Raw genomic sequence first — 21,313 nt, forward strand, 5'->3', positions numbered from 1 at the left:
GCATGTTTGTCATGGTGAATCATAAAAATACATCTAGAAGCCAAGGTGTTAGAGTTGTTTTAGTTCATCAAGACTGACATTGCATAAATGAGTCCCTAACATTCTTTGGACAGAAAGAATCCCAGGTGGTTCTCCTGCTTTTGTGCCTTCATGGATTCCTAGATCTGCTTTCTGTTCTAGAGAGCTGAAAAACATTGTATAATCTCGAATTTCACCTTGTTTTTGAGATGCAACCTTTGAGGATATTTTTCAGAAATTTCATGTGTGTGTATGTGTGTGTGTGTGTGTGTTTTGAGACAGAGTCTCACTCTGTCACCTAGGCTGGAGTACAGTGGCACGATCTCGACTCACTGCAACCTCCGGCTCCCAGGTTCAAGTGATTCTCATGCCTCAGCCTCCCCGGTAGCTGGGACTACAGGCATGCACCACCATGCCTGGCTAACTTTTGCATTATTATTATTTTTTTTGGTAGAGAGGGGGTGTCGCCATGTTGGCCAGGCTGGTCTCGAACTCCTGACCTCAAGCGATCCGCCCATCTCAGCCTCCCAAAGTGTTGGGATTACAGGCGTGAGCCACCATGCCCAGCCTGAGTTTTTAATGTTCTTTACCTACACAACTGAAAACAGTAGAGAACTTTAAGTCTAATATATCAATCGAGGCAAAAGATTTGCCTGTTTTGTGCTACCTTATGATTTCTCACTTTGTATTCCCTTTGAGCCCTATACTTCTTAAGTGTCATCACTTTCATTTCCTGTTTTCTACTCATTAAAAAAAGGGGGAAAATGTGCTAAAGTATTCACATAATTATATAAACACTAAAGTACAGACAAAAATGGTGGCTGAGGTGAAAATGATCTGCTGGCAGGCAATGCCACCCTGTAGAAGCTCAGAATGTCCTGTCATCAGCTGATGAAGAAATGTCCTAAATTGGCAAAGATAGCAATTTAAGTATCTTAATGTAACAATTCATAAATGTGTAGGTTATTTAAAAGTCCAGTGTATAAAACTTGAGAATTGCTTGCATGGATTTTATTTCTGGAGATAATTTGTGTTGTGGAGAAATTATATAGACCCAGAGAGGTGTAATTACAGAAGTTGTTTTCATAAATGGAGATTTTGATGCAGATCTAGATAACTAGTTGCGATTCTGCTGCGATTGCTAAATATTTGATTTTTACTTAAATTTAATTATTCACTTTAAATTTATTTTACTAAATCAATTTAGTTTAATTTACTTCACTACTTAATTTTTGCTTAACTTTTATTCTTCTTCCACTAATTTACCTTTAAAATGTTTACATCTACTTATGTTTTTAAAGTCTTCACAAGACCCACTTTACCAGTTTAGTTCTCAGTTTCTTTGTTTGTGATATGATGGTGCAGTTACTAAATTGTTAATGGTGCTAAGGTCAGTGCTTAGGTGCTGGAGTGCAGTGCAGTGGAGTGATCATGGCTCACTGCAGCCTTGACTTCCTGGGCTGAAGGGATCTTCCTGTCTCAGCCTCCCCGAGTAGTTGGGACTACAGGTATGTACCACCACACCTGGCTATTTTTAAATTTTTTTTGTAGAGATGGGGTCACACTATGTTGCCCAGGCTGGTCTCGAACTCCTGGCCTCAAGCGATCCTCCCACCTTGGCTTCCCAAAGTGCTGGGATTACAGGTGTGAGCTACTGTGCCTGGCTATGCCTAGTTGTCATTAATTGCCAGGCCATGCTCTAGACTCCAGGGCCCATGGCCTCTAGTGGTTGCTTTTCAAAGAAGCACATCAAAAGGACTATGCATCAATAGCAAATGGCAATCATATGCTGAAGGTAGGTTAAGTTTGCAACTGAAAGTAAAATTTGTAGACGGAATATCATAGTGGTTAAGACCTTGGCCTTTGGAACTGTTTAGAACTGGGTTAAATCCTAGATATGACTTGTATCCTCATGCAAGTTATTTTTTCTTTCACATCCTTAGTTTTTACATCTAGCAAATGTGAATAATAACAGTTACCATGTACATGATTATAAGGATAATGAGAAAACAAATATGAAAGTACTTAGCAGAGTACCTGATATACAGGAAGCATTCAATATATCTTAACCTATAAAAAGTAATAAGAAGTGAATGTGCACATGAAGGCTGCCAGTCTCGTGTCTGCCAGCATCCCTCTGACACCAGTGCTGGTGCACACACACACATGGATGCCAGTGACCCTACCCCCTCACCCTGTGCCACCATTGTGAACATTCACATGGAGGCCATCAGCCCTGCACCCTCCAGTCCCCAGCCACATCTAACAAGTATGCACCCTGCCACACTGCTGTTGCTACTAGTACGTGCAAATGAACACAGATCCCACTGCCACCGCCCAACGAAGGACTTTGGTTGGCATCACCCATTGGAGTGTTGTGGCCAGTGGTCTGGGAACACCTTGGCTCCTCCAGTGCAGCAGGTTCATAACCTTGTGGGGCCAGAGAACAAAGCTGAGGGCCCAATACCCAACCCCTCAGAATTAGAGCACACAGCTCAGGAGGGCTGAGGTGAGCCTTGGCCCCCTAAAATCTTCCAGATTGAAGGAACATCAGGCCACACAGGTGAGAAAGAACTAGTGTAAGAACTATGGCAACTCAAAAAGCCAGAGTTGTCTTCTTACCTCCAAACAACTGCACTAGTTCCCCAGCAATGGTTCTTAACTAGGCTTAAATGACAGAAATATAATTCAGAATACGGATAGGAATGACGATCATTGAGATTCAGAAGGAAATTGAAACCCAATTTAAGGATTCTTAGAAACACAATAAAATAATACAGGAGGTGATAGAAGAAATGGCCATTTTTAAGAAAGAACCAAACTGATCTGATAGAGCTAAAGAACTCACCTCAAGGATTTCAGAATACAATTGTAAGTATTAACAGCAGAATCGACCAAGCTGAGGAAAGAATCTAAGAGCTTGAAGACTGGTTCTTCAAAATAACTCAATTAGATAAACAAAACAAAACAAAAATAAAGAAGAATGTACAAAACCTTTGAAAAATATAGAGTTATGTAAAGAGATCACCCCTGTGACTCATTGGTATCCCTGAAAGAGAGGGAGAGAAAGCAAACAACTTGGAAAACGTATTTCAGGATATCGTCCATGCAAATTTCTCCAACCTTGCTGGAGAGACCAACACTGTATTTCAGGAAATGCAGAGAACCCCTGCAAAATACTACACAAGAACACCATCCCCAACACATAGTAATCAGATTCCCCAAGGTTGAAATGAAAGACAATATTTTAAAGGCAGCTAGAGAGAAGGGGCAGATCACCTAAAAAGGGAACCCCATCAGGTTAACAGCAGACCTTTCAGCAGAAACCCTACAAGCCAGAGGAGTTTGAGGGCCTATATTCAGCATTTTTGAAGAAAAGAATTTATAATCAAGAATTTCTTATTCAGCCAAACTAAGTTTCATAAGTGAAGGAGAAATAAGATCCTTTCCAGACAAGCAAATGCTAAGGGAATTCATTACCACCAAACCTGCATTACAAGAGGTGCTGAGGAAGGGCTAAATATGGAAAGGAAAGACTGTTACTGGCCACTATAAAAACACACTTAAGTACATAGACCAGTGACACTATAAAGCAACCACACAAACAAGTCTGCATAATAACCAGCTAACAACATGATAACATTGATCAAATCCACATATATCAATATGAACCATGAATGTAGACAGGCTAAATGCCCCAATTAAAAGGCACAGAGTGGCAAGTTGGGTAAAGAAGCAAGACCCAACTGTGTGCTGTCTTCAAGAGACCCATCTCACATGCAGTGACATCCATAGGCTCAAAGTAAAGGGATGAAGAAAAATCTACCGAGAAAATGGAAAACAGAAAAAAGCAGGGGTTGCTATTCTAATTTCAGACAAAACTGACTTTAAACCAACAAAGATAAAAAATGACAAAGAAGGATATTACATAATGGTAAAGGGCACAGTTCAACAAGAGGACCTAAATATCCAAAATATGTAAGTACCCACACAGGAGCACCCAGATTCATAAAGCAAGTTCTTAAAGACCTACAAAGAGACTTAGATAACCACACAATAATAGCAGGAGACTTTAACACCCCATTGACAGTATTAGATTGTTGAGGCAGAAAACTACCAAATATTTGGGACCTGAACTCAACACTTGACAAAGCAGACCAAAAGACATCTACAGAATGCTGTACCCAGAAACAACAGACTATACATTCTTCTGCATATGGCATATACTCTGAAATTCACCACACACTCAGACATAAAAAAATCCTCAGCCAAAAAAAAAAAAAAAAGCAGAAACCCACAAAATCATACCAACCACACTCTTAGACTACAGCATAATAAAAATAGAAATCAATGCCAAGAATATCACTAAAAAACATACAATTAATGGAAATTAACCTGCTCCTGAATGACTGGGTAAATAATGAAATTAAGGCAGAAATCAAGACATTCTTTGAAACTATTGAGAACAAAGATATAACATACCAGAATATCTGGGACACAGCTAAAGCAGTGATAAGAGGGAAGTTTACAGCCCTAAATGCCCACATCAAAAAGTTAGAAAGATCTCAAATAAACAACCTAACATCCCAACTAGAGGAACTAGAGAAACAAGAGAAGACCAACCCCAAAGCTAGCAGAAGATAGAAATAACCAAAATCAGAGCTGAACTGAAGGAAATTGAGATGCAAAAAAAGCCATACAAAAGATCAGCAAATCTAAGAATTGGTTTTTTGAAGGAATTAATAAGATAGGTAGACTGCTAGCTAGACTAATAAAGAAAAAAGAGAGAAGATCCAAATAAACAGAGTCAGAAATGACAAAGGGGACATTACCATTGACCACACAGAAATACAAAAAAAAAATCCCGCAGACACTACTACAAACACCTCTGCACACAAGCTAGAAACCCTGCAAGAAATGGATAAATTCCTGGAAACATACGACTTCCCAAGACTGAACCAGGAAGAAATTGAACAGATCAATAATGAGTTCTGAAATTGAATCAGTAATAAAAAGTTTACCAACCAGTAAAAGCCCAGGACCAGATGGATTCACAGCTGAATTCTAGATGTGTAAAGAAGAACTGGTACTATTCCTCTTGAAATTATTCCAAAAACTTGAGGAGAAGAGAACAACAAAAAAATAAAACTTCCAGGCCAATATCCTTGATGAACATTGATGTAAAAATCCTCAACAAAATACTGGCAAACCACATCCAGCAGCACATCAAAAAGCTAATCTGCCATGATTAGGTAGGTTTTATCCCTAGGATGCAAGGTTGGTTCAGCATATGCAAATCAATAAATGTGATTTGACACACAAACAAACTAAAAAAACCCAAAACCACATGATTATCTCAATAGATGCAGAAGACCTTTTGATACAATTCAACATTTCTTCATATTAAAAACCCTCAACAAACTAGGCACTGAAGGAACATACTTCAAAATAATGAGAGCCATCTACGACAAACCCACAGCCAACATCATACTAAATAGGCACAAGCTGAAAGCTTCCCCTTAAAAACCAGAACAAGGGAAGGATGCCCTCTCTCATCACTCCTATTGAACATAGTACTGGAAGTCCTGGCCAGAGCAATCAGGTAAGAAAAAGAAAGAAAGAGCATCCAGATAGGAAGAGAGGAAGTTGAACTATTGCTGTTTGTAGATAATATGATTCTATACCAAGAAAACCCTATGGTCTCTGCCCAAAAGCTCCTAGATCTAATAAACAACTTCACCAAAGTTTCAGGATACAAAATCAATGTACAAAAATCAGTAGCATTTCTTTTTTTTGTTTGTTTTTGAGATGGAGTCTCTGTCGCCCAGGCTGGAGTGCAGTGGCACAATCTCGGCTCACTGCAACCCCGTCCTCCCAGGTTCAAGTGATTCTCCTGCCTCAGCCTCCTGCATAGCTGGGATTACAGGCACCTGCCATCATGCCCAGCTAATTTTTGTATTTTCAGTAGAGATGGGGTTTCACCATGTTGGCTACCCTGGTCTTGAACTCGTGACCACAGGTGATCTGCTCGCCTTGGCCTCCCAAAATGCTGGAATTACAGGTGTGAGCCACTGCACCCGGCCAAAAATCAGTAGCATTTCTATGCACCAACAATATCCAAGCTGAGAGCCAAATCAAGAATGCAGTCCCATTCACAGGAGCCACAAAAAAGAGTAAAATACCTAGGAATACAGCTAACTAGGGAGGTAAATGAGCTCTACCATGAGAATTAGAAAACACTGTTCAAATAAATCAGAAATTACACAAACAAATGGAAAAATATTCCATGCTCATGGATAGGAAGAAATAACATTGTTAAAATGGCCATACTGCCCAAAGCAATGTACAGATTCAATACTATTCCTGTCAGTCTACTATCTTCCTATCAATCTACAATGACATTCTTCAGAGAATTAGAAAAAACAGTTTTAAAATTCATATGGAACCAAAAAGAGCCCAAATAGCTAAGGCAATACTAAGCAAAAAGAACAAAGCTGGAGGCATCCCATTACCCAACTTCAAACTATACTATGAGGCTACAGTAACCAAAATAGCATGGTACTGGTACAAAAGCAGACACAAAGACCAATGAAACAGAATGGAGAACCCAGAAACAAGGCCACACATATACAACCATCTGATCTTCAAGAAAGTTGACAAAAACAAGCAATAGGGAAAGGACTCCCTATTCAATAAATGATGTGGGATAACTGGCCTGCCATATGCAGAGAATTGAAACAGGACCCCTTACACCATATAAAAAATCGACTCAAGATCGATTAAAGACTTAAAAGCAAAAACTATAAAAACTCTGGATGATAGCCTAGGAAATATTATTTTGGACGTAGAACTGGGCAAAGATTTTATGATGAAGATGCCAAAAGCAATTGCAACAAAAACAAAAATTGACAAATGGGAACTAATTAAACAAGAGTTTCTGTACAGCAAAAGAAACTATCAACAGAGTAAACAGACAATCTACAGAATGGGAGAAAATGTTTGCAAACTATGCATCTGACAAAGGTCTAATATCCGGAGTCTATAAGGAATTTAAACAAATTAACAAGCAAAAAACCCAATCCCATTAAAAAGTAGGCAAAGGACATGAACAGACACTTCTCAAAAGAAGAAGACATGCACATCGCCAAGAAGCATATGAGGAAACACTCAACATCACTAATCATTAGAGAAATGTAAATCAAAACCACAATGAGATACCATCTCCCACCAGTCAGAATGGCTATTATTAAAAAGTCAAAAAATAACAGATGCTGGTGAGGTTGAAGAGAAAAGGGAATACTTATACACTGCTGGTGGGAATGTAAATTAGTTCAGCCATTGTGGAAAGCAGTTTGGCAATTTTCCAAAGAACTCAAAGCAGAATTACCATTTGACGCAGCAATCCCAATATCAGGATTCCAAATATATTCCAAAGGAATATAAATCATTCTGCCATAAACACATGAATGCATATGTTCATGGCAGCACTTTTCACAATAACAGAGACATAGAATCCTAAATGCCCATCAACAGTAGACTGGATAAAGAAAGCATGATACACATACACTATGGAATACTTATGTAGCCATAAAAAAAGAAAAAGATCATGTCTTTTGCAGCAACATGGATGGAACTAGAGGGCATTATCCTAAGTGAAGTAACACAGGAACAGAAAACCAAATACTACATGTTCTCACTTATAAGTAGGGGCTAAACATTGAGTACATATGGACACAAAGAGGGCAACAACAGACACTGGGTTCTATGTGAAGGTGGAGGGAGAGAGGAGGGTGAGGATCCGGAAACCACTCATTGGGTACTGTGCTTATAACCTGGGTGATGAAATAATCTGTGTACCAAACCCCTGTGACATGCTATTTACTTATATAAAAAAACCTACACAGGTACCCCTGAACCTAAAGTAAAAGTATTTTTAAAAAAGTAAAACTACCTATCGGATACTATGCTTATCACTTTGGTGGCAAAATAATGTGTACACCAGACCCCTGTGACATGCAGTTTACCTATACAACAAACCTGCTCTTGTACCCCGAACCTAAAATAAAAGTTCAAAAAAACGAGAAAAAAATTATTTCACGTGACCTAAGAACACAGTATTTTGACTATCCTTAATGGGATTTAATTGAAGGATAAATAGTGCTATAAAGAAATTGTAAGCTTTAAAAAATAACCTGGTTGTTAATAGTACTCTCAATATCTTATGCTTTTGTGATTGTTTTATACCTATTTTACAAAAATGCAAATAAGTACTTATGTATTTATGTTAAGGTCATCAGGAGCCAAGATTTACAATGTAAGATAAAAGTGATTAGTAGAAAATCAAAGAAATTAAAGTACCGTAATATTAATCTGCACTGGAAATATCAGTAGGAATGCAAACTACATATTTTCTAGCTTTGTCTACTGAAGTGCCCAGATTGTGATCTATAAATACCATTTCCCACAAAAAGGAGGCAGAATTTCTTGCAGGAATGGCTGACTCCAGGTCTGAGGGAAGAAGTGTACAAACTCCAGGTCTGAGGGAAGAAGTGTACAAACTGAGCCTGGGTTTTCTTATTGACTAACCAGAATGCAAAGAAATCAAAGACAAGTTAGCTAGTGTGGTCTTGTTAAAAGGACCTAAGAATTAACATTAAGAGGCTTCCATTGGTCAAAGATAAGACAATTTGAGTACCATAAATAACAATGGATGTAATTGTTTGAAACACATGTATCTTAAAAAACCATGTATTCATAATGTTAGAGAGAAAAAGAGCAGAATAGCCTTCCAATCCAACCCATTGAACATCATTGGAAGTTTATAGGACATCAACTCCTTGGTATGAACATTGGTAATCAAATGGAAAGAAATAAGTATTACCTTTTTCTTACATGACCTATTTCATGGTAACCAAATAGCCTGATTTGATGAGGGAAAGTCCTTCTCCCACAATTTTATCTAATAAATATAAAAGGATAGTAGAGGCTGGGAATGGTGGCTCATGCCTGTAATCGCAGCACTTTGGGAGGCCAAGGCAGGCGGATCACTTGAGGTCAGGAGTTTGAGACTAGCCTGACCAATATGGTGAAATCCCATCTCTACTCAAAATACAAAAAGTAGCTGGTCATTGTAGTGGGGGCACCTGTAATCCCAGCTACTGAGACAGGAGAATCACTTGAAGCCGGGAGGTGGAGGTTGCAGTGAGCCGAGATTGTGCTACTGCATTCCAGCCTGCTCTGTCGCCCAGAACAAGACTCCGTCTCAAAAAAAAAAAAGTATGGTAAAATTAAAAAATTATCACTTTAAGCCCCTAATGAAATGAATTAGGCAACAATAATTGGTGGATGAAACAGTTAGATGAAAGGTTGAGGGGGAATTTACAAAGGAGAGATTGAGCTATTACTACCTGAGCCTAGTGATCAGTCTTTGCATTACTAAAAATGGGGGAACCAGATATGATACACTTTCTGAAGTTTTATAACATGAATCACAGAGTACCCTGTATGAAGTATTTGCGTCCCCGAAGTTGAATCTGAATAGAATCAGTTATAGGAAATCAGGAGATGGAGAACCAAGGTAATTGACACTATGGGAAGCAAACACAACAATCCATGAATCTAAAGGACACCTGACCCTATTTCTTCAAAAAGTCAATGTTAGGATAAAGAAGTGAGGAGAAGGACTGTGTCTCAAATTTCTAGGATTAAACACTGGGTTTTTTGTTTTTGTTGTTTGTTTGTTTTTTAATATCCTATCCAGGCAGCAACCAGTAAGTGGTCCTAGGGTGCATGACGAGTATGCAGTTCAGGTCACGTGTGACTCACGGTGAGTCTGACGACTGCCAGCTGGTTCAGTGAGATGAGTCCACTCATCATGCACTTGGATGTCTTGACAGTGTCAACTTGCTATGAACGTTTCTAAGTGCTCACTTTCCTTTTCTGTATTTATCTTGTTGACCCGTAACAAAGAGTTGAGGACCAGTAAACAGTTTTTGGACTGGTAACAATTAATTCTCAAAATGGCACCAATTGAAAAATCACACTTGAGTAGCACTACCCTAGATTAAAAGAAATTCAAGAGATATACCCTAATGTAATATTTGAACTTATCTGGACCCTGACTCAAACAAATCAACTGTAAAAGGACTTTTTTTGAGTTGATTAGTGATATTTGATTATGGACTCATGTATAAAATGATACCAAGGAGTATAGCTAAATAAAACAAAAACAACCAAATAAATAGGGATAGATGAAGCAAATGTGGCAAAATCTTCAAATGTGTTGAATATGGATGATGTGTTTATGGGTTTGATTTTGGTACTATTCTCTTTACTTTTTTTGTATGTTACATATATGCTTCCTTTTGTCTCACAACAATTTACTCATGTTTTCTAAACTTAATTTATAATTATTCTTGTTTTCTTTTGTTTTGTTTTTTGAGATAGAGTCTCACTCTTTCGCCGAGGCTGGAGTGCAGTGGCACTGTGTCGGCTCACTGCAACCTCTGTCTCCTAGGTTCAGGCAATTCTCCTGCCTCAGCCTCCCGAGTAGCTGGGATTACAGGCATCCACCACCACGCCCAGCTAGTTTTTATATTTTTAATAGAGACGGGGTTTCACCATGTTGGCCAGGCTAGTCTTGAACTCCTGACCTCGGGTGATCCGCCTGCCTGTGCCTCCCAAAGTGCTGGGATTACAGGCGTGAGCCACCGCACATTTATAATTATTCTTTTTGGGATTTGTGCAACATTGAAACTCTACCTTGCTTTCTAGAAATTTTGTTTTGTTTGATTTTTGTGTTTCAGTTTAGGATCTCAGTTTTCAGTTCTGTGATTCCACCTTTCATAAGTGATTGATAAAATAATTTCCTATAGATTTTCAGCTTCCTTCTCTCACTTTTGTATAGCAGAAACAGGAAGAGAGAACGTTCAGATTGAAAACAAAATATCCTACTTTCTTGAGATTATATTTTATACAATTAATACTAGATCATTTTGTGTGTTAGTCTTTCAGAAGAATTAAAGAGCCTCTTCTCTCTGTTAATCCCTTGTCTCTTCTAAACATACTTGATTATAATTTGAAGTATACGTGGCAACATACCAGAAATATTTTATCTCCATTACAGTTTAGGAACCGCTTATTGAAAGGGCTTGTTTGCTAATTTATATATAGTAAAAATTTTAAATTTCATTTTATTCTGAGTATAAATTTAAACTGATTTTTATGATTTCTTCTTTTCAGTAGCTTTTCTCTTTCATATTACTTTCCTTAAAACCCTTTGCCATTATGCTAATACATTAAATTCATATTTTTAAAATGGATTCTAAAAATCTCCATATTTTACTGTATTTCATCTCTGAGTACAAAGCCCACCATGGACCTTCCCATCATTTTTGTTGTCCTGCTGAATTTCTTACTTTGTTTATTTGCACAGCAGATCTTTATTTTTAAATGTCTTATTATGAAACATTTCAAGCATACAAAAGTAAAGAGAATAGTATAATGAATTCCCGCATACCCATCACCTAGCTTCCACAATTATCGACTCACAGCCAGAGATGGTGTTTCAAAGCATCTGTGGCATATATGAAGTGATGTAATATATTTCAACCTAATTAACTTAGCTTTCTTTATTTTCCCCATATGTATTCAAATTATAGGCTGTTCATGTGTGCTCTGTACGTTTATAATTATATATTAAAATTAATGAATGAATTCAAGAAAAGACTCTAAAGCCATGAAATATTGTTTCTATAAATTTTTATATAGTTTTAAAAATTGTGGTAAAATGCACATAATGTAAATTTACCATCTTAACCACTTTAAGTATACAGTACGGTAGTGTTAAGTGCATTCATATTGTTGTGCAACCAAACTCCAGAATCCCCACAGCCCCTGGCAACTCCCCTTCTACTTTCTATCTTTATGAATTTGATTACTCTAGTTATCTCAGGTAAGTAGAATCATACAGTATTTGTATTTATTTTATTTTATTTTTTGAGACAGAGTCTCGCTCTGTCACCAGGCTGGAATGCGGTGGCATGATCTCGGCTCACTGCAACCTCTGCCTCCTAGGTTCAAGTGATTCTCCTGCCTCAGCCTCCCGAGTAGCTGGGGCTACAGGTGCGTGCCACCATGCCCAGCTAATTTTTGTATTTTTAGTAGAGATGGGGTTTTACCATGTTGGCCAAGGTGGTCTTGATCTCTTGACCTCGTGATCTGCCCACCTCAGCCTCCCACAGTATTTGTCTTTTAATGACTGGCTTATTTCATTTAGCATAATGTCCTCAAGGTTCATTCATTATTTCTACAAATTTTGATTTACAATTTTATGAAGGAAACAGCTAAAGAGAGAATTTGGAGTGAATTTCTATTAGATGATGACTTCTTGAATTACATAGCCTCGTTCTATTAGGAGATTACATTTTTATTTCTGAAATACATTATTAAACAGTATTAAAAATGCTTTCCATGTGTATTTGACAAGAGTAGTTTTCACCATGTCTCACATTTGCTAATATAAACCCAACTGAATATTTCTATCAGAATATAATCAAATTAGAGAGTAAGTAATAGAATTCATATTTTATTTTATTTGAGACAGGGCCTTGCTCTGTCACCCAGGCTGGAGTGCAACAGTGCAATTTCGGTTCACTGCAGTCTCCGCCTACTGGGCTCAAGTGATCTTCCCACCTCAGCCGCCTGTGTAGCTGGGACTATAGGTGTATACCACCACAGTTGGCTAATTTTGTAATTTTTTTGTAGAGATGAGGTCTCACTGTATTGCCCATGCTGGTATCAAACTCCTGGGCTCAAGTGATCCTCCTGCCTGGGCCTCCCAAAGTGTTAACGATTACAGCCATGAACCACTGTGACAGGCTGGAATTCATATTTTTAAATACAATTACTTTACTTTGCCTACCCATTTACTTTTGTGTCATATATATATATGCACACACATATATATATTTGTTGGAAATAATTATTTATTTTTACTTCAAAGGTGAAATATTAAGTATCCACTTAAAATTTTAATCTTTATAAAGACAATATGCTTATATAGATTCTTTCCTAAAATTTAGTTACAATTTTAAGGTTCACTAAAAGAAATAGATATTTCTCACAGGTTTTTTAAGAATAATATTGCTTTATTTGAGTGACAAATAAATACATTTGTTGTTGTGAAATACTTTTTGACTAACATTTATTCTTCCAGTTTACCTTATAGATCTTTCCATATCTCCTTATTAATCCTTTTTAGGGGGGTCATGAGCATGTTACTGCTGTGGTTTTAGTGTAATACTGTATTTGTTTAAGTCATCTGCTGTGAGTTAATGAAATATCATTTCTAGCTCCAGATGTCACTAGATAAAGATTAAATATATTGCATTCATATAATCTCTTGATGAAGCTAGAGTAGATTTTTTTTTCTTTACCTTAGGAGATTAGGAGAAAAATGCACTTGGAGCAGTAGGCTGTGTTTTTGTAATAAACACTAAATCCTAGTCAGTTATACTAGATTTTTCCATTCATAATTTATTGAGTGTTATGATTTGTCACTTAAGCATATGCAAATCTTAAGCAATAATTTCAAGAAGAACAGGTTGTATCACTTGTGAATTAAATACCTTTGAATACTATTTTTAAAGATTATCAAAACTATCTGAGAAGGAAAGCTATAATACTTCACAAATTTATAAATGAAAAATTTTAAAATGATAGTAATTGTGCAAGTTTAACAAATAAGAGCACATGCCTGGTTAACAGTGATGTTTTAGTTCAGCTGTATTTCAAAAAGCCTTGTAGGAAGTTATCTTTACACTGGTGAGTTTATCAAGCCCAGGATCTGACCCTCAGCTTTTTGGGTTCAGATGGAATGGAATGGAGCTGTCTCCCAAAAACAGACTCACATTAAACAGTGTCAAAGGACAGATTATGTCTATATCTAATCTGACTTATATATACTAGACATATATATTTTATTTGTTTATTACATTTATATATGATTGGATGTATATCAGAATCAAATGTATTAATTTATAATAAGTAGAATTGTCAAATGAACTGAAATCACCATCTCAGCATGATAGCTCATTTTTGTTTTGTAGGTGAACAAAACCATAATCGTATGAACCTAGAATGAGTTCAAATTTTTTCTCATAGTTGCATAAATGGAATATTTAATGGCATAATCTAAACGTGGCATTAGTACATCTTGCTCCACAGTATGGGTAGTCTTACCATTGAGGCCAAATTGTTTAAAGGGTGTACGGTTAAAAGACTCTTTCTCCTGAACAGTGTAGTGGACACTGCTGATGTTTGTTTCACTGATCTAATTTTTTAAAGTATTAATTACTGATTAATTGCTCTTTTGGTTGCCATTGAGTTCCAGTTAAATCTTGCAGGCTAGGGAACCATTTTTTTTCTCGTTAAGGTAATTTGCCTATATCCTCTGATCTATGATGAGTTAATTTCATCTTTAACTCAGAAAGAGTTTTCTTATATATATATATTTTTTGTTATTTAGTTTTTATTTCATAATCATAAACTTAACTCTGCAATCCAGCTAGGCATGGGAGGGAACAAGGAAAACATGGAACCCAAAGGGAACTGCAGCGAGAGCACAAAGATTCTAGGATACTGCGAGCAAATGGGATGGAGGGGTGCTCTCCTGAGCTACAGAAGGAATGGTCTGGTGGTTAAGATAAAACACAAGTCAAACTTATTCGAGTTGTCCACAGTCAGCAATGGTGATCTTCTTGCTGGTCTTGCCATTCCTGGACCCAAAGCACTCCATGACCTCCACAATATTCATGCCTTCTTTCACTTTGCCACAGATCACATGCATGCCATCCAACCACTCAGTCTTGGCAGTGCAGATGAAAAACTGGGAGCCATTTGTGTTGGGTCCAGCATTTGCCATGGACAAGATGCCAGGACCTGTATGCTTTAGGATGAAGTTCTCATCTTCAAATTTCTCCCCATAGATGGACTTGCCACTAGTGCCATTATGGCGTGTGAAGTCACCACCCTGACACATAAACCCTGGAATAATTCTGTGAAAGCAGGAACCCTTATAACCAAATCCTTTCTCTCCAGTGCTCAGAGCATGAAAATTTTCTGCTGTCTTTGGGACCTTGTCAGCTAACAGCTCAAAGGAGACGCGGCCCAAGGGCTCGCCATCGACGGCAATGTCGAAGAACACGGTGGGGTTGACCATGGCTAATAGTACACAGTTTTCCTCGGCGGCGTCATCTGCAAAGCCGCTTTCTTATATTTCTTGTCCTCAAGGTCTTGGAGAATGTTTCCAAGTACAGACAAAATTCTGATTATGAATATCTGTAAAAATGGAGGGGAAAAATAACCAATTATTTCACTTCCTTAATACAATTGTGATTATTTTGGCTAATTCCCCTCATATGTGGGGAATTTCGTTTTGGTACCTGTACTCTTAATTAGATAAATAAGTGTTGCTATGTTTTCCAATTGGGATTTTGATGGCTGTCCTTTTAAATTTATAAATTTGGAGTGAAATTATGTATCTATAATGTTGTCTTCCCTTTTAGGAACATGCTAGGTGTTCACTTTTTAAAGTCTTCAGTGAAGTTTGAAATTCACGGTTTGAATGGGGCTTTAATTAATTAATTAACTAATTTCTTTAAGTCGATCCATGATAGGATAAAATAGCGATAGATTTAGCTTTATTTAGAGAGACTGGGTTTTCCCCATTTTAAGGTCTAAGGTTATTGCTGATATGCAGGTAAGATATTGATTTTACTAGGTATATTTTGTAACTGGTTACCTTACTGAACTAACACTAGGTCTAATAGTATAAAAAGTAATTCTTTGGTGCTTTCCATGTCATCTGATATAATGAAAATATGGTTTCTTTTCCAATATTTATGGCTTCATTTTGGTCATATTGTATTAAAGCTTCCAGAACAAGTTGTGCACTATAGCAGCAATTGCTTGTGTTCTAGTTTTACAGCATTCTTTTTATGCACACAGTGTTCCTGTGAGTGTATAGGACAGTCTTATTTTCTTTATTTTACATAAAGATAGTTTAAGTAAATAAATAAACTTAGCACCAAGGTAACAATTGACTTGTCCAACTTGGAGCTAAAACTGAAATAGAAACCCAGGTCTTTGGACCACTGCGTTCCCATATTTCTGTATGCTACTTATCGTTTTCTAAGTAATAAATTTTATACAAAGTTTAATTATGTAAGCAGTCTCATGGATTAAAGTTCTATAAATCTCAAACTCAACATGATTAAAACTGAGCTGATCATTTTTTGCCCTCAATATCCACTGCTCCTTCTGAATTCTTTTTTTTTCTAGATGGCTCCACCAACCTCCGACTCAGGCCATGACCCTGAAGGTTTTACATTCCTCTGCCTCAATACATATACTGAATGGATCATTACATCAATTTATTCCATCTTTAAAAATCTCTCAAGTTGGCTTACCTCTGCCCTCCTTGCCCATCACCATTCTTTTTGTTCAGGCTATCATTATTTCTGCTCTTTGTCTCTAATCTTGCCCTCTGCCAACCTGCCTCTAAGCCTGCCAAGGTGATCTTATAAAATGCAATTCCACTCCATTACTCTCTGGTTAAAATCCTTTAGTGATTCTTCATTATTCAGGATATAGTTCAGTCTCCTTAGCTAAGCACGCAAAACTCTTGCTTAAAAAAGATTATTCTTTTGAGCCTGGCTTCGTTCTCTCAACGTTACATTTGTGCATAGCTTAATTGCTGATGATTGGTCAGAGGTTATGCTCAAACACCTGGAGCCAGTAGGCTTCTCCACTTCCTGATGGTTCTGTGTGGGTTGGGGAGCACATTCGAAGTTTAGGCAGTGTTCAAGTCTGCCCTGTCTTTTAGTTTCAACCATGTCCTCTGCGTCTACACAAAGCCTCCTCATCAGCCAGGATGTGTGGACAGCTTGGGTCCCCTTAGCTTCCCCTACACATGTGAGTGGAAGGCTGCCAGGGTTGTGTGTAGTTTCTCAAGCTTCTCTGTAATCCTTCATTTCCAGAATCTCCCTATTACTATTCCTATTATGGTGCTGGTTGGTTGGTTGCTTGTGCCAACTGGGATGACTACTACCTCAGGCTTGCTACAGAGATTGCTACTTTTACTGATGATGCTGCTGGATGGCATATTTTCATTTTCAGCTTCAGATCAGTTGAGCCTCTCTGGCAGTAAGGCTGCTGGTTTCACAGCCTGTGGTCCTGGTAGAACCACCATACTGACCCTCTGGGAGGGATGGGAGCAACCTCAGGGAGGAATGCCACAGACTCCCACTGTTCTTGCCTGAATTTCAACAGTTTTTCATGAATAAGTGCTTCTTAATATGTTATTTGCCTTTGGTTGATTCCCAGTTCCCTGAAATGGTTGTTTTTAACAATTTTGTTCAGTTTCAAAGTTGTTTTTTGAAGGGGATTTGTAGTCCTGCCTCCCGAGGCCACATGGTTTTAATTTGCATTTTCTAAAAACTAGCTCATTTGAGCATCTTTTCATATGTTTATTAGTTATTTGGTACTTTCTTTTGTGATTTTTATGGCTGTCTTTTGCCCATAATAACTACATATTTTTTTAGATTGAATCTATGCATCACTTAACTTCACATAGGCAACCCTGACCTCCCAAGTTTGGCTTAGATCCACTCCTCTGTGTTTCCATACAATTGGTGTACAATTCTGTATGGTGGTCATCTATATACTTGGCTAATTCCCCATAGTAGTCTGAGAGCTCCTTGACAGCAAGCACTATGTTTTTGTTTTTACTGTTTTTTTTTGAGACAGGGTCTCACTGTGTCATCCAGGCTGGATGCAGTAGTGCAGTCTCGGTTCATTGCAACCTCCACCTCCGAGGTTAAAGTGATTCTCCCACCTCAGCCTCTCGAGTAGCTAGAATTACAGTCATGTGCCACCATGCCTGGTTAATTTTTGTATTCTTTAATTAGAGACAGGGTTTCACCATGATGGCCAAGCTGGTCTTGAACTCCTGACCTCAAGCGATCCGCCTTCCGTGGCTTCCCATAGTGTTAGGATTACAGGGGTGATCCATTGTATCATTCTTTCATTCTTTTTTTTTTTTTTTTGAGATGGAGTCTCGCCCTGTTGCCAGGCTGGAGTGCAGTGGCACAATCTTGGCTCACTGCAACCTGCACCTCCCGGGTTCCAGTGATTCTCCTGCCTCAGCCTCCCGAGTAGTTGGGACTACAGGCACACACCACCACGCCCGGCCAATTTTTGTGTTTTTTAGTAAAGACGGGTTTTCACCATATTGGCCAGGCTGGTCTTGGGTGTGATCTGCCCGCCTTGGCCTCCCAAAGTGCTGGGAGTACATGGGTGAGCCACCGCATCCGGCCCATTGTATCATTCTTATGCCTTTGACTCCTCATACCTTAGCTCCCACTTGTGAGTGAGAACATACGATGTTTGGTTTTGCATTTCTGAGTTACTTCACTTATAATAATGGTCTCCAATTCCACCCAGCTTGCTGCAAATGCCATTATTTTGTTCCTTTTTATGACTGAGTAGTATTTGGGCTGGTTTCATATTTTTGCAATTGCAAATTGTGCTGCTTTGAGGGTGTGTGCGAGTATCTTTTTCATAGAATGACTTCTTTTCCTCTGAGTAGATACCCAGGTTGCTGCATCAAATGGTAGATCTACTTTTAGTTCTTTAAGGAATCCCCACACGTTTTCCATAGTGGTTGTACTATCTTAAATTCCCATCAACAGTGTAAAAGTGTTCCCTTTTCACCACATCCACACCAACATCTATTTTTTTTTGATTTTTTGATTATGGCCATTTTGCAGGAGTGAGGTGGTATTGCATTGTGGTTTTGATTTACATTTCCCTGATAACTAGTGATGTAGAGCATTTTTTCATATGTTTGTTGGCCATTTGTATATCTTCTTTTGAGAATTGTCTATTCATGTCCTTAGCCCACTTTTTGATGGGATTGTTTTTTTTTCTTGCTGATTTGTTTGAGTTCCTTGTAGATTCTGGATATTAGTCATTTGTCATATTTACAGATTGTGAATTTTAGATCTATCCTGCTTTCTCTTGCGGGCATTTAGTGCTATAAATTTCTCTCTACACACTGCTTTAAATGTGTCCCAGAGATTCTGGTATGTTGTGTCTTTGTTCTTGTTGGTTTCAAAGAACATCTTTATTTCTGCCTTCATTTAGTTATGTACCCAGTAGTCATTCAGGAGCAGGTTGTTCAGTTTCCATGTAGTTGAGCAGTTTTGAGTGAGTTTCTTAATCCTGAGTTCTAGTTTGATTGCACTGTGGTCTGAGAGACAGTTTGTTATAATTTGTGTTCTTTTACATTTGCTGAGGAGTGCTTTACTTCCAACTATGTGGTCAATTTTGGAATAAGTGCGATGTGGTGCTGAGAAGAATGTATATTCTGTTGATTTGGGGTGGAGAGTTCTGTAGATGTCTATTAGGTCCACTTGGTGCAGAGCTGAGTTCAATTCCTGGGTATCCTTGTTAACTTTCTGTCTCGTTGATCTGTCTAATGTTGACAGTGGAGTGTTAAAGTCTCCCATTATTATTGTGTGGGAGTCTAAGTCTCTTTGTAGGTCTCTAAGGACTTGCTTTATGAATCTGGGTGCTCCTGTATTGGGTGCCTATATATTTAGGATAGATAGCTCTTCTTGTTGAATTGATCCCTTTACCATTATGTAATGTCCTTCTTTGTCTCTTTTGATCTTTGTTGGTTTAAAGTCTGTTTTATCCGAGACTAGGATTGCAATCCCTGCCTGTTTTTGTTTTCCATTTTCTTGGTAGATCTTCCTCCATCCCTTTATTTTGAGCCTATGTGTGTCTCTGCACGTGAGATGGGTCTCCTGAATACAGCACACTGATGGGCCTTGACTCTATCCAATTTGCCAGTCTGTGTCTTTTAATTGGAGCATTTAGCCCATTTACATTTAAGGTTAATACTGTTATGTGTGAATTTGATCCTGTCATTATGATGTTAGCTGGTGATTTTGCTCGTTAGTTGATGCAGTTTCTTCCTAGCCTTGACGGTCTTTACAATTTGGCAAGTTTTTGCAGCAGCTGGTACCGGTTGTTCCTTTCCATGTTTAGTGCTTCCTTCAGGAGCTCTTTTAGGGCAGGCCTGGTGGTGACAAAATCTCTCAGCATTTGCTTGTCTGTAAAGTATTTATTTCTCCTTCACTTATGAAGCTTAGTTTGGCTGGATATGTGATTCTGGGTTGGAAATTCTCTTCTTTAAGAATGTTGAATATTGGCCTCCACTCTCTCCTGGCTTGTAGAGTTTCTGCTGAGAGATCCACTGTTAGTCTGATGGGCTTCCCTTTGTGGGTAACCCGACCTTTCTGTCTGGCTGCCCTTAATATTTTTTCCTTCATTTCAACTTTGGTGAATCTGACAATGATGTGTTGTGGAGTTGCTCTTCTCGAGGAGTATCTTTGTGGCATTCTCTGTATTTCCTGAATTTGAATATTGGCCTGCCTTGCTAGGTTGGGGAAGTTCTCCTGGATAATATCCTGAAGAGTGTTTTCCAGCTTGGTTCCATTCTCCCCGTCACTTTCAGGTACACCTATCAGACGTAGATTTGGTCTTTTCACATAGTCCCATATTTCTTGGAGGCTTTGTTCGTGTCTTTTTATTCTTTTTTCTCTAAACTTCTCTTCTCGCTTCAATTCATTCATTTGATCTTCCATCACTGATACCCTTTCTTCCAGTTGATCGAATCAGCTACTGAAGCTTGTGCATTCATCATATAGTTCTCATGCCATGGTTTTCAGCTCCATTAGGCCATTTAAGTACTTCTCTACATTGGTTATTCCAGTTAGCCATTCATCTAATCTGTTTTCAAGGTTTTTAGCTTCTTTGTGATGGGTTCGAACTTCCTCCTTTAGCTCAGAGAAGTTTGATCATCTGAAGACTTCTTCTCTCAACTTGTCAAAGTCATTCTCCGTCTAGCTTTGTTCCATTGCTGGTGAGGAGCTGCGTTCCTTTGGAGGAGAGGCACTCTGATTTTCAGAATTTTCAGTTTTTCTGTGCTGTTTTTTCCCCATCTTCATGGTTTTATCTACCTTTGGTCTTTGATGATGGTGACGTACAGATGGGGTTTTGGATAGATTGTGAAGATTTTCTCCCAGTCTGTGGGTTGTCTGTTTACTCTGCTGATTATTTCTTTTGCTGTGCATAAGCTTTTTAAATTGTCTCGTCTATTTATCTTTGTTTTTGATGCATTTTCTTTTGGGTTCTTGGTCATTAAATCTTTGTCTAAGGCATTGTC

The 21,313-nt window shown here is 38.2% G+C and overlaps 1 protein-coding gene and 1 pseudogene across 12 annotated transcripts in view; one reads left to right on the plus strand and one right to left on the minus strand.

Moving 5' to 3' along the window:
- ATG10 (autophagy related 10) overlaps positions 1-21,313 on the plus strand; it is a 284,111-nt gene that overhangs the window by 22,833 nt on the left and 239,965 nt on the right. The window lies entirely within an intron of this gene.
- Positions 14,535-15,280, minus strand: PPIAP11 (peptidylprolyl isomerase A pseudogene 11; annotated as a pseudogene).

Source organism: Homo sapiens, chromosome 5 (genome assembly GCF_000001405.40).
Source record: "Homo sapiens chromosome 5, GRCh38.p14 Primary Assembly".
Classification (NCBI taxonomy): domain Eukaryota; kingdom Metazoa; phylum Chordata; class Mammalia; order Primates; family Hominidae; genus Homo; species Homo sapiens.